The sequence below is a fragment of the Homo sapiens genome, chromosome 15 (genome assembly GCF_000001405.40).
Source record: "Homo sapiens chromosome 15, GRCh38.p14 Primary Assembly".
NCBI classification, from domain to species: domain Eukaryota; kingdom Metazoa; phylum Chordata; class Mammalia; order Primates; family Hominidae; genus Homo; species Homo sapiens.
In genome coordinates this window covers 78,675,809-78,689,585 of record NC_000015.10, presented here as the reverse complement: position 1 = coordinate 78,689,585, position 13,777 = coordinate 78,675,809, and positions in this window count along the sequence as shown.

The following is a 13,777-nucleotide window of genomic DNA, read 5'->3' as shown; positions in this document are numbered from 1 at the left end:
AAAAACATGACAAGAGGCCAGGCGCAGTGGCTCACACCTGTAATCCCAGCACTTTGGGAGGCTAAGGTGGGCAGATGACCTGAGGTCAGGAGTTCGAGACCAGCCTGGCCAACATGGTGAAACCCCGTCTCTACTAAAAATAAAAAATTAGCTGGGAGTGGTGGCACGCACCTGTAGTCCCAGCAACTCAGGAGGCTGAGGCAGGAGAATCGCTTGAACCCAGGAGGCAAAAGTTGCAGCAAGCTGAGATCATGCCACTGCACCCCAGCCTGGGCGACAGAGTGAAACTCCATCTCAAAAACAACAAAAAATGAAAAGAACATTCACTATAGAGCTGTTCATAACTGAAAAAGATTAAAAACAACCTAAATGTCTACTTATAATGACCAGATAAATAAATCATGATACATTCATGCAGTGGGATTATATGCAGTTGTTGAGTGAGATAGCTCTAGATATAATGATACAAAACAATCTGCAAGACATATTATTAAGAATACTTAATGTGTGAGCCACCAGGCACAGTGGCTCACACCTGCAATCCCAGCACTTTGGGAAGCTCAGGCAGAAGGATGGCTTGAGCTCAGGAGTTTGAGACCAGCCTGGGCAACATAGTGAGACCACATCTCTACAAAAGCAAAAAAATTAGTCGGGTGTGATGGCACACACTTGTGTTCTCAGCTACTTGGGAGGCTGAGGTGGGAGGATTGCTTGAGTAGGTGAGGTCGAGGCTGCAGTGAGCTATGATTGTGTCACTACACTGCAGCCTTGGTGACAGAGCAAAACCCTGTCTCAAGAAAGAAAAAGGTTATCAGAAAGATGCAGGAACAATATGCCAGGTGTAGTAATACTTGTGTGAAAATATATTTAAAAATACTATTGAAACCTAGATGCTGAGCATGCTTAGACCCTCTCAGAAAAGATACACAAGAATGCAGTAACACTGGTTGTCTCTTGGGAGGGGAGCTGGGGCCTGGAGGGGGAAGGGATAGGAGAGAGATTCACTCTTCACTCTAGGTCCTTTGCATCTTTTGAATTTTGTACTCTATGCATGTACTATCTATTCAAAAACAAACACAGATGGTCCCCAGCTTATGATGTTGTATTTTTTTTTTTTTTTTTTGAGATGAAGTTTTGCTCTTGTTGCTCAGGCTGGAGTAAATGGCACAATCTTGGCTCAATGCAATCTCTGCCTCTCAGGTTCAAGTGATTCTCCTGCCTCAGCCTCCCAAGTAGCTGGGATTATAGGCATGTACCACCACCCATGGCTAATTTTTTGTATTTAGTAGAGACGGGGTTTCACCACATTGGTCAGGCTGGTCTTGAACTCCTGACCTCAGGTGACTCACCTGCCTTGGCTTCCCAAAGTGCTGGGATTACAGGCGTGAGCCAACATGCCCTGCCCCACAATGGTTTGAATTAATATTTTTTGACTTTACAATGGTGCAAAAGTGATACACATTCAACAGGAACTGTACTTCAAGTACACATATAACCATTCTGATTTTCACTTTCAGTATTCAATAAATTACATGAGATAGTCAACATCTGATTATAATATAGGCTTCGTGTTAGATGATATTGCCCAGCTGTAGGCTAATGTAAGTGTTCTGACCATGTTTAATGTGGGCTGGGCTAAGCTATGAGGTTCAGTAAGTTGGGTGTATTAATTGCATTTGTGACTTACAATATTTTTCTTTTACAGTGGGTTTATTGGGAAGTAACTCCACAGTAAATGGAGGAACATCTGACACTACACACAATGGGACATTATTCTGCCTTAAAAAGGAATAAAATTCTGATACATCTTACAACATAGATGAACCTGGAAAACATGCTAAATGGAATAAGAGACAAAAAGACAAATCTTTATGAGTCCACTTACATTAGGTACCTAAAATAGGCAAATTCACAGAGACAAAAGTAGAATAGTGATTATTAGGGGCTGGGGGAGAGGGAATGGGGAGTTACTGTGGAATGGCTACAGCGTTTCTGTCTGGAATGATGAAAAAGTTCTGGAAATGGATAATGGTGATGGTTGTACAGCATTGTGAATGCACTTAATGGCAGTGAACTGTACACTTAAAAATGGTTAAATGGTATGTTTTACATTACAGACATTTTACCACAATAAAAACCAAATATATAACATAATCTATTTTAAAATAAATGTTTTACGATTTCAGTGTCTAACGACCACTTAATGAAAATCCACCGCCTCCAGTGGGAGTATGTGACAACCAAGAGCCTGAGCTTTGGAATCAAACTGAACGGAGTTGGACTCATGCCTCCACCATAACTAGTTTTGTCACCTTATAAATTAACCTTCTAGAGTAGAAGTCAGTAAACTCTTCCTATAAAGGGTTAGACACTGAATATTTTAGGCTATGCAGGCCATATATGGTTTCTGCTGCAAGCAACTACTCAATGTAAATGGCAGCAGCCATAGACAACACATGAATGAATGAACAAGGCTATGTTCCAGTAACAACGGGCAGTGGCTGGATTTGGCCCACAGGCTACAGTTAATCAATCTCTGCTCTCAGTTCCCACATTTGTAAGATAGGGACAATAATATAACTACCTCATAGGGCTGTTGTGGGAATAAATGGGGCAATGTGTCAAATTCTTTGCTAAATGCTTTATGTATAAAAAGTAAGCCAATAAATGTTTGTTTTTGTTGATGTGGTTGTTGAGGTAGATGCTGAGAATGCAGAAGAAGAAAGCCACATTTATGGAACACCTACTGTAAACATACTAGGGCCAACTCTTAATGCGACAGGATTTCATTTGTTATTTTTATTAGTTACTTGATCAAAACATCTCATGTTGGCATGGAGCTTCGTGCTTTGGGTCCATTAGCTCGTTTCATCTTCCTGATTACTCTCTGGGGTAAATGTTCTGAATCAGGAAGCCAGACCTCCGAGGTCACCCTGCTAGGGAGAGCAGAGACAAGGTTTGAAACCTCAGCCATCTTATTCCAAAGACTGGGTTCTCAACCAAGGGTGGTACTGCCCACTTCTACTCCACTCTGTTCCCTCCACCCTGGGAGATTTGGAAATGTCTGGGGCTTTTTTTTTTGTGGGGAGGAGGGTTTTATAAGAATGAGGAGGCACTGTTGGGGTTTAGTGACCAGGGTCCAGGAATGCTAAAGGCAGACTCGTTTAAATGTCTGTAAAACAAAAAATTATCCAGTCCCAAATGGACTCCCAAATATCAGTGGTGCTCCACGTCATGCTGCCCAGATGTGACTCCATTACCACCCTGCCTTGAGCAGCTCACAGTCCTACGGGGAGACGGTGCACTGGAGCACAGATTCTTTCTGTTTCCCTCTAAATCTGCATGAAAGGCAGTGCGGTGTAATAGAAAGGCCGCTGGATTGTCAGAGGCTAAAACCACTGACTTGACCATTGAACAGCTGTGCAAAGTAGGGCAACTGGCTTGACCTCTCTGGGCTTCAGTATCCTCAGAGTGAAAAGAGGATCCTGACACATGCCTGTCCCCTTTTAGGGATGTAACTAGGATCGGATGGAGCAGCAGTGTGAAAGTGCATACCTCTGTACGAAGACGTGGCGTGTTACTAAGTGAATTGTAAAGCAATTGTCAACAAAATAAAGCTCTTCCCCTTTAAATCTTGAGTTTGGCTTCTAGAGGCTGCATGGAGGTTTTATCTAACAGCCCAGGTGCAGATGACTCCACCGACGGCTCCTCCTGCCCCCAAAATTGAGATTTAGCTTTGGTTGCATCTCCAGCAAAACCAGCCAGGGTGAAAAATGAGCTCAGAAGAGAGCGACTGTGCTTCCTGTTGGCCATACCTCCTCAGGGTCATAAAGAAGCCATCCATTCCCAGCCAGAGACTAGGCCAGAAAAGGGCCGGAACAGCCTGATGGGGTCACTTGTGGGTCAGGCCCCACAAGCCATTTTTCCCCCAGGACGGGAGGGAAAGGGTTAATAGCGCCTTTGGTCAAAATGCCAAGTTGGAATCAATCTACATAAATGTCAAGCCTGCTCCGTATGCAAAAAATAAGGAGGTGCATCATAGCAGGAAGTCTGTCTGCAGAACAAGGTACAGATGTCTTTTCTATAAGGCTCTGATTTCTCTTTTTCTACTCAGAGCCCAGATGGCAGCTGGGTCCCCTGCCTCTTCAGATCTAGCTAATTGTGGTCCTGCCTCTGCAATTCCACACGTCCTGAAGGCTTCCCCAAACTCTCTGCAAGGGCCTGGGGTCTGGCATCATGCCTCACATGGCCTGTGCCCCTGCATGCCCTTGTCAACCCAGCAATGAAACTTGATCCATTCTCTAGTTTCAAAAACAAAAACAGGAAAAACAATCCCAGGAGGATCCCAAAGAGAGAGAAGAATTTGATGAAGTTTCCCATGCAACACAGTAAGCAGCTTTGTATTGCAGCAAAAAGGTGTTGGAGTCAAACTTCTAGAACCCAAATCCCTTACTTATGTAATGGGGCGACCTCAGAAAGTCATTTCACCACCAGGTTTGATATTTTCATCTGTAAAATGAGGTTGTCAATTTCTACATTAAAAAGCTGTTGTGAGGACTCAATTAAATTTGTCATGTAAATGGCAGGCACATAATACTTGCCCATTTCAGTTAGAGCTCTTGGCTACAGATTGATTTATTTAAATCACTTCCTTTTATTTAAAAGGAATGTGTAGGCTGTTCAAACTGTAGTCTGGCAACCCGCCATGTGTAGGCAGAATTGGATCAGGGCTCTTCTCTCTTCTGTTTCCTTTTCTGTCCTCCAGCCTTCCTCATAGTCATAAAATGACTGCAGCTGTGCCAGGTATCACATCTACCTTCTGCAGCATCCAGAAGAAAGCTCTTTTTCCTTTGCCATGGGACAAAAGTCCTAGGTTTTTCTCTGCTCAGAACACTTAAGGTCAAGTTCCCACTTCGGAAGCCATCATTGAGGCTGGGGGCATACCATTCCATGATTGGCTTGGCATAGGTGATAAAGGGGTGGGATTACACTCTGTACCCTGAGGTACCCCAAAGTCCAGGTTCCTCCATGTGTAATCCTGTCTTCACATCTGTGTCCCCAAAGCCTGGCACAACATTTGACACAGAAGAAGACGCTCAGTAAGAGCTTATTGGATGAATGATGCTCGTCGAATGAGGATTATAAAGTCTAAGGAGAGAATAAGTGTGTGTGTGGTTAGAACATCTAATCATTCTCTGAATCAGTTGTTCAGTCAGTGGTAATTTCCCAGATATTCTTTTCAATGAAATCCCAGGTTGCAAATGTTGACCTTTGCCTTTTCCCGGACAGCAGCTTGCTTCTCCTGGTAACACCTGGGAAAGCCTAAATACATCTCCTTGCCAGGCCTTGTGAGCTGTCTGAAGGCTGCTGGTGCTGCCCCTGCTGCCTCTGCACAGCTCACTCAAGCCAGGGAGCATGAGAGTAAAAACTCCAATTCCATTTTTAATCATTGAGTCCAATAAGGGAGATTAAATTTATCTTTTTTTTTTTTTTTTTTTTTTTTTGAGATGGAGTTTCACTCTTGTCACCCAGGTTGGAGTGCAATGGCTCAATCTCAGCTCACTGCAACCTCTGCCTTCCAGGTTCAAACTGTTCTCCTGCCTCAGCCTCTCGAGTAGCTGGATTACAGGCGCCTGCCACAACGCCTGGCTAATTTTTTGTATTTTTAGTAGAGATGGGGTTTCACCATGTTGACCAGGCTGGCCTCAAACTGCTGACTTCAGGTGATCTATCTGCCTTGGCCTCCTAAAGTGCTGGGATTACAGGTGTGAGCCACCACGCCGGGGCTTTTATTTTTATTTATTTTTTTAATTAGAGTGTGTGGGGAGGCAATCCCCAGGTAGCCATCCTGAGGGACGTTCTCTGCAGCTGACATGGAGATCCTGACAAGGTGAAGCTACAAAATCTGGGGGACTTGGCCAGGTGCGGTGACTCATGCCTATAATCCTAGCACTTTGGGAGGCCGAGGCAGGCAGATCACTTGAGGCCAGGAGTTTGAGATCAGTCTGACCAACATGGCGAAACCCTGTCTCTACTAAAAATACAACTTAGCTGGGTGTGGTGGCGCGTGCCTGCAATTCCAGCCACTTGGGAGGTAGAGGCACGGGAATTCCTTGAACCTGGAAGGCGGAGGTTGCAGAGAGCTGAGATCCCACCACTGAACTCCAGTCTGGGCGACAGAGTGAGACTCTGTCTCAAAAAAAAACAAAGTCTAGGGGGAGCAGAGCCATGGCACCCACAAAGAGGGACACTGACCCCCGGGGTGTGGCAGAGGAGGTGGAACAGCTGAGCCCCACACTTCAGAGAACCCCTGTCCTGGGCCCACTGGAGCACACAGCATGGGAGGTGAGGGACGCAATGAAGCCAGGTCACACAGCATTCAGCTGGGGCTGCCCAGAACCCCCACGGCCAACACCCAGGTGTGGGTTGCCCACTCAACAGTGCCGCGATCTTGGGGAGGATAGGGAACCCCAAGCAAGTAACTCTTACGGATCCCTGGGATTTAGTCCCACGCAGCTGCTGGTAATGGCCTGGACGGCCTCCTCCAATTCACCACATCCAAACACAAACTCATCACCCCGCTCTTGCCTGCTGCTCCCCTAATCCTGACTCCAATCTCTGTACAGCCCTTTCAGCCCCTAAGAATTCCTATCAAGCTGCTGGGCATCGTCTTAGACCCCCCACCCCCACCTGCATGGCCATTACTTACCGAGACCTGTTGAGTCCATCATCACAACACCCATGGCCTCTCTTGACTCCCAGCCCTTCCCATCCCCTCTCGCCTGAATTGGCCTTTCTGGCTCCAGTCTTGCCCCCTCCAATCTATGCTTCCAACACATAGGTCATATCCTGCTATTTACCTCCTCAAAAATTTTCAGGGCTCCCCATGGCCTACACAATAAAGCCTATGTTTTCATGGAACACCCAAGACCCACCACTTGTCATTCTATTCTCATTTCCAATGCATAAGGAGCCTCGTCCTCAGAACCAGGGGATGCTTTCCTGTCTCAGAGCCTTTGCTTATGCCCCTCTGGACACGGGGACTGCCTTCTCCCTTTCTCTTCCTTCTGAAGTCTTTCTCATTCTCCAGGTTCCTGTTTCAATGCCTCCTCCTGCAGGCACCTCCCTGGGGGTGTGGGTTCAGGGGTGGGTGACTGTTTTATCCTTCCTGCCACTGCCCCCACGCTGGGGTCTCTATTTCAGCATGCTTTTCATTTGGCCCAGGGCAGTGAGGACAGTGGCCTGCTAGCTATATTCAGCATTCATATTGTATCAAGCATGGCCAGGTGAATTTCCACCCATGATCTCAATGAATCCACACTGTTAGGAGAGGTGGTTTATCCTGTTTCACAGACAGGAACCTGAGGCTTAGAAAGGAGAAGTGATTTGCCCAAGCAAGCGACAGAGCAGGTTCCACTCTGCATATTCTTTATGGAGTCCGGGGAAGTTCCTCCTCCACCTCCCTGCACAAGGCAGCCCTGGGGTGGGAGAAGCCTCAGGAAACCCATCTACACTCTGCTTTATTTAAAGGGCCCTTGAGTTCCAAAGGGGGCTGGTGGAACACACTCCTGTGATCATTAATTCACATTTGTCCTCCCTCCCTGGCCCCTGACTTCCCAAGGCCTGCCATGAATCAGGGCCCCAGGCCCAGGACTGAGCAGGTCTGCATAATTTCCTGAATGTCACCAAACCCATCTGTCACTCCCTGAGCTTCCCAAATGCCATCCCCGGTGCACCCAGGGAGGCCCTGAGCCATATGGCCAGGGAGCCCCTCTGTGAAATCCCATTAGCGCTCTCCGCTAATTGGCTTTAAAGCACGCAAAGTAATTAGGAAGGGGGCCATACACGTGTCCCCATGGGGGAATGGGAAGTACACTATCCAGATGGCCTCTGAGAGCTCCCTCATCTCTCCCTCCCCTCTATGAACTCATCTCTTCCTAAATGTCTTCCCTCTCTCCTGTGGCCTCACTGCTGTGGTGGGGCAGAAGGATGGCTCAAAGAAACATTTATATTCAGACATATAGGTCACTGGGATGGAAGCAAGCTTTGAAATATTAACAGGTTTTCTCCTTCCTGCCTTCCCCCTCATTCCAGCCAGCGGCAGCTCTAAACTTCACTGCTGTGGGGGAGGATATGGTACAGCAGAGGGAGGGATGGAGGCAGGAGGCAGGGGGACCCCTGACTCTCTTGCATAGCATTTCCTTTCACCCCCGGCAACAATGGTGTCTCTGGGGTGATCCTGGGCCTGCCACAGAACAGAAACGATGGAGAGAAAAATGGATGTCTCAGTGGCAACCAAGGTGGAAGGATGACAGAGGACAGGTATCTCCCTGCATACCAAGCCCCCAGACTTCACATAGGACCAGAGCGCTAAGGCATACCTGACTGCCCAGGAAGGGGACCTTGACTTCAGAAACTCAAGTGTTGCATTTAAGATCAAGAAATTTAAGATCAAATGTCTTGTGCGCTGCATTCTGGACTGGGATTCAAGGTGCCGTAGAGGGAGCACCTCCCAGTGCTGGGGGTTTGTGTTCGGCACTTTGCATCCATTCTCTCTGACCTCCCAGCAGCGCACTGAAGAAGACACTACTGCCCTCATTTCACAGATGGGTCAGAGGCCACAGGAAGGCCATGGGGAAGGAGAAGCAGGCCTGAGCTTGAGGCCCACTTCCTCTCACTCTGAGGGCGATGCTGAGCAGCTCCCCAAGAGGCAGGGGCCAGAGCTGGAGGCGTGGACACAGTCACAGACTCTCCCAGGGCTGCTGTGCCATTGCTGGAACCTCCTCTTTGGAGGAACTTTGTGTACCAAGTACTTCTACCGTGTAGCATTTTCCCTGGCTGGAATCCTGCAATTGTCACAGTGTTCCAGGATCCAGGAAGGCAGGGCAGGAGCATCATGCCCGCTTTCCAGCAGGTGCAAGGGGAGGCTGGGGGCTGATGCACTAGTCCAACCAGCAGGGAGCCCGTGGGAGGGTGAGGCGCGGAAGGGGTGCATGGAGAGCCGCTATTGACTGCTCACTGCCTTAGCTGGCAGGTCAGGACCCAACTGCAATCCCAGGATACAATTAGAGAAGTATTTTGGATTTTAGATTTTTTTTTTCAGATTTTGGAATTTGAAAATCTGAAATCCAAAATGCTCCAATGAGCATTTCCTTTGAACCTGGCCTTCGAGCATCATGTCGGCACTCAAACAGTTTTGGATTTTGAACCATTTCCAATTTCGGATTTTCGGATTAGGGATGCTATATTATCTTCTGAACGAGGCCACTCATTCAAGAAACCCCAGAGCTTGGGAAGATGGAGCTGCAGGCCAAAGAGGTGATTTCTGAGGTGCCTCCCACTGTGGAAGGGCCTACAAAGTGGTTTCAGGCAACCCAGAAAATAGGAAACCCAATATTTAGCTAATGGAACATGAATAAAATCTGCTGAAGATGTCTGCCTGTAATTTAAATGGAGCCAAGCCAATGCGTTATTAAAAAAAAAAGAGAGACACCAATCTCTCTGCAAAAGCACTGAATTGTACCATAAATCATCAGTGGTGGTTTTCTAGGGATATGAAGAAGGGGTTTTCATAATACATCACATGATACACTATCTCCCAAATCTCTAAACGTTTCTCTCCACAAGCCCAGTCCTTTAGTTATCCAAATCCCTCCCTCTTTTCTCTTGCTGTCTCCAAAACTCAGAACTGTGCTCTGACTTTCTGCATCCTGCCCCACCTTCTTGGCCTCCCTGGAAAGCCCCCCACTTCCCCAGGGTGTCCCCTCCTCCCCTCCTGGGGTTCCCCCATCTTTCCTCAAGTGGACCCTCTTAGTTTCTCTAACTCTGCATCTCAACCTTTCTCCCTTCACCACACAATAATGTCCAGGAGGCCAAGGGCCCACAAACAAGGGACCCTCCCTTTCCAGAAGGGAGAAGATGTAACTACAAATATTTGGTTATAATTTTTTTCCCTGCCACACCTGTTTCCATAGGCAGTGCTGAGCCCCAGTCCTGGCAGATCTCAGAATCCAGGCTCTCATGAGCTGGGGCAAGTAGGGCCAAGGGAGCCTCTGGGTTGAGGACATTGCATCCCATTCTGCAGCCACCCTGCCCTGACCTCTGCCCCTTCCCGGTCCCCCAGGCCTGCCCTGCCCTGTCCTGCCTCAGCCTGCCCAGGAAGGCCACTGCTTGAGGCCTCCAGGAGGCTCACCCCAGAGCAGGCATTATGACAGGGACTGGCACATCCCACCTGCAGACTCTGCCTAGGGCTTTGGACCAGCCAGGAAGCTAATGTGGACAGGGCTGGCCCCGAGCCCAGCAGTGGGTGAGGCAGGCCAAGTCTGAGCCCTCACCAGTGCTCCCCATATCCCCAGGCCTGGCTTCCTCCTGGCACCCAGTCACCCAGGTCCCACCCACCCTGTGCTCTGCCGGGTCAATGGACTTCTACTATGGCACTGGAAGGTCAAAGGTGCAGAAGGCCCTGGAATTTATTAGCCAAGTCCACCTCCCATGCCTCAGGATGGGGATTGTTAAGGCCTAAAGAGAATCAGGGATCCTCATCCATAAGAGATCACATAACTTTGGACAGAATGAGCTAGAACCCCGGTCTCTGAACCTCCAGGCTAGTGTTTTCCCCATAACATGTAGGGATTACATCATTCCTAGCTGGGCTTATTGTCTCATGCCTGTAATCCAAACACTTTCAGAGGCTGAGGTGGGAGGATTGCTTGAGACCAGGAGCTTGAGACCAGCCTGGGCAGCAATTTGAGACCCTGTCTCTATAAAAAAATAAAAAAATAGCCAGACATGATGATGTGCATCTGTAGTCCCAGCTACTTGGGAGGCTGAGGCAGGAGGATTGTTTGAGCCCAGGACTTCAAGGCTGCAGTGAGCTGTGATTGAGCCAATGCACTCCAGCCTGGGTGACAGAGCAAGACCCTGTCTCTAAAATGAAAATTTCCAAACTATGGAGGTGAGTGGAGGGTGGGTATTGTTGAAATTAATGGAATTGAAAGTGTAGATTATGGGCCGGGTGCGGTGGCTCATGCCTGTAATCCCAGCACTTTGGGAGGTTGAGGGGGGTGGACCACAAGATCAGGAGATCGAGACCATTCTGGCTAACACAGTGAAACCCCGTCTCTACTAAAAATACAAAAAAAATGAGCCAGGCATGGTGGCGGGCACCTGTAGTCCCAGCTACTCGGGAGGCTGAGGCAGGAAAATGGTGTGAACTTGGGAGATGGAGCTTGCAGTGAGCCGAGACTGCACCACTGCACTCCAGCCTGGGCGACCAAGCGAGACTCCATCTCAAAAAAAAAAAAAAAAAAAAAAAGAAAAGAAAAGAAAAGAAAGTGTAGATTATGGGTTCTCCTATGGTTATTTGCATTTTAAGTGGAACACAAAGAACAAAACATCTCCTTGACACAGAGGCAAATCCAGAGACAGAAAGCAGATTAGTGGCAACCAGTGCCTAGGGGAAGAGGCAGGATTGGAAGTGACAGCTTCCTGGGTACGGGGTTCCTTCTGGAGTGATGAAAAGGTTCTGCAATGATTAGTGATGACAGTTACACAGCATTGTGAGTGTACTTAATGCCGCCGAATCATACAGTTGAAAACGGTTGAAGCGGTAAGTTTTGTTTCATGTATTTCCCCACAATTAAAAGAGAAATATCTTTGACTGAAATACATAAGACCTGTATTGAGGAAAGGTCTCAACACTGGGAGTTTGTTTTGCTTCTTCCCTTCTCTCTTCTGTCCCTCTCTCAGCAGACCTCTGCTGAGAGCATTCCCAGTCTAAGAGGGGAGCTACACACAGTGGAGAGAGTGACTGAGACTCCACTCAAGGACACCATACTGAGAAACAAGACAGAACCAAATGATAAAAGGAGTTGTTCCTGCAAAAACATCTAGGAATGAGGGGAAGTAGCAAAGATCAAGCTGCACTCCACTGGGCACCACTGAATGCTCGCTCAGGTGGTTCCTGAGTGCACATTTAAACAAAAATTTTTTTTTTTTTTTTTTTTTTTTGAGATGGAGTGTGTGGCCCAGGCTGGAGTGCAATGGCACAATCTCGGCTCACTGCAATCTCTACCTCCTGGTTCAAGTGATTCTCCTGCCTTAGTCTCCAGAGTAGCTGGGATTACAGGTGCCTGCCACCAAATCCAGCTAATTTTTGTATTTTTCATAGAGATGGGGTTTACCCATGTTAACCAGGCTGGTCTTGAACTCCTGACCTCAGGTGATCTGCCCACTTTGGCCTCCCAAAGTGCTGGGATTACAGGCCACTGGGCCAGGCCCTGAATTCACTTTTTTTTTAGATTCCACATGTGAGTGAGATCAAGTGCTATTTGCCTGTCTGTGCCTGGCTTACTTCACTTAACATGGTATCCTCCAGGTTCACCCGTGTTGTTCCAAATGACAGGATTTTATTCTTTTTATGGCTGAATAGTACTCCATTGCATATAAGAAATGATACATGCATGTGGGATGGTTGTCCTACTTCCCTGAGTTGATCATTATGGAGCATATCTGTATTGACACATCAAATTGTACCCATAAATATACACAATTACAATGTGCCCATTTCTAAAAAGCCGGCTCACTGTGGAGACCAAAAAACCCTTCCACAGCTCCAAGGGAGATCACAGACTGTGAAGCAGGCTGGGGGCTCCAGGGCCTGGGCCTCTTGCGCTCACCACTGTACTTCCCAGCCACAACCCTCCCTGTCTTTAATGTCAGGCATTGCCCCTCCCCTCCCTGAAAGCCCTGCTTCAAGCCTGCCTCCTCCTTCCTCACCCAAACCACTCGCTGTATTTTCATGCCTTATTAGAAAATTACTTAGGCCGTGAAGATCTGCATACATTTACCTGCTTTCTGTAAAGGTTTTCAGATCAGGCAGTTTCCCACAGGGTTGGAATCTCAATGCATTGAGATGGTAAATTATTTCTTCCTTAATCCTCTCACTGAACTCCCGCAGGGCCTAGCACCGTGTTCTGCACACAGTGAGTCCGTCGTCCGGCAGACACTGGTTCTTCACCTGGTGCTGAGCTTGGAGCCCCACAGTGCCGGGCTGGCAGCGCCCATTGGGGTGGGAGGGAGTTGGTGCTCGCCCTCCTTGGAGTGCTTTTGCAAGTGTGTGTTAGATCTGTGGTCTAAGGCACATCAGGAGCCCAGAATGGTTTCCCAAGGGGAAGAAATAAAAGTCCCCACAAGAGAACGGAGCTTGCCCATCCACTGAGGAACAGTGCTCCAGGGTCCTTTTCTGACCCTGCTCAGCCGCAAACTTCTCCTCGCCCACCCCTCCTGTTTCTCTTCCTCCACCTCCTCCATAAGGACCTGGGCACTGTGCTGGGCCCCGCCTCTTGTGTTTGACTTTCCCCCTTGCATGGAGTGCTCAAGGAAGCCATCAAGTTGGACATCTTCCCCATAGGGCGCAATCCAAATGGGCACCTAGCGCTGTCAGCCACGGACTGTTGCATGAACGTGCTCACCCCAACCCTTCAACCCACACATAGGGAAGCCTTATCCCAAGCATGTGCTTTGTAAACACACACTTCTCATGGGCAGACAGAGAGTCTGGGCTCCCATATCAGCTTAGCTGCTGATCACGGTATAACCTTAGTCCCTCCCCTCTCCGGGCCTCGGTATTCCCAGCTGTATGATGAGACCACTGGACTCAATGAACTTGGCTTTCCTTTTAGTGTCAGTGTTCACCAAGTTGTCCTTGGTGTCCCTCAAGCAGCTGCTCCTGCCTCCCCCAGCCCCACCCATACACACACCTCATAGTTAGAGTGGG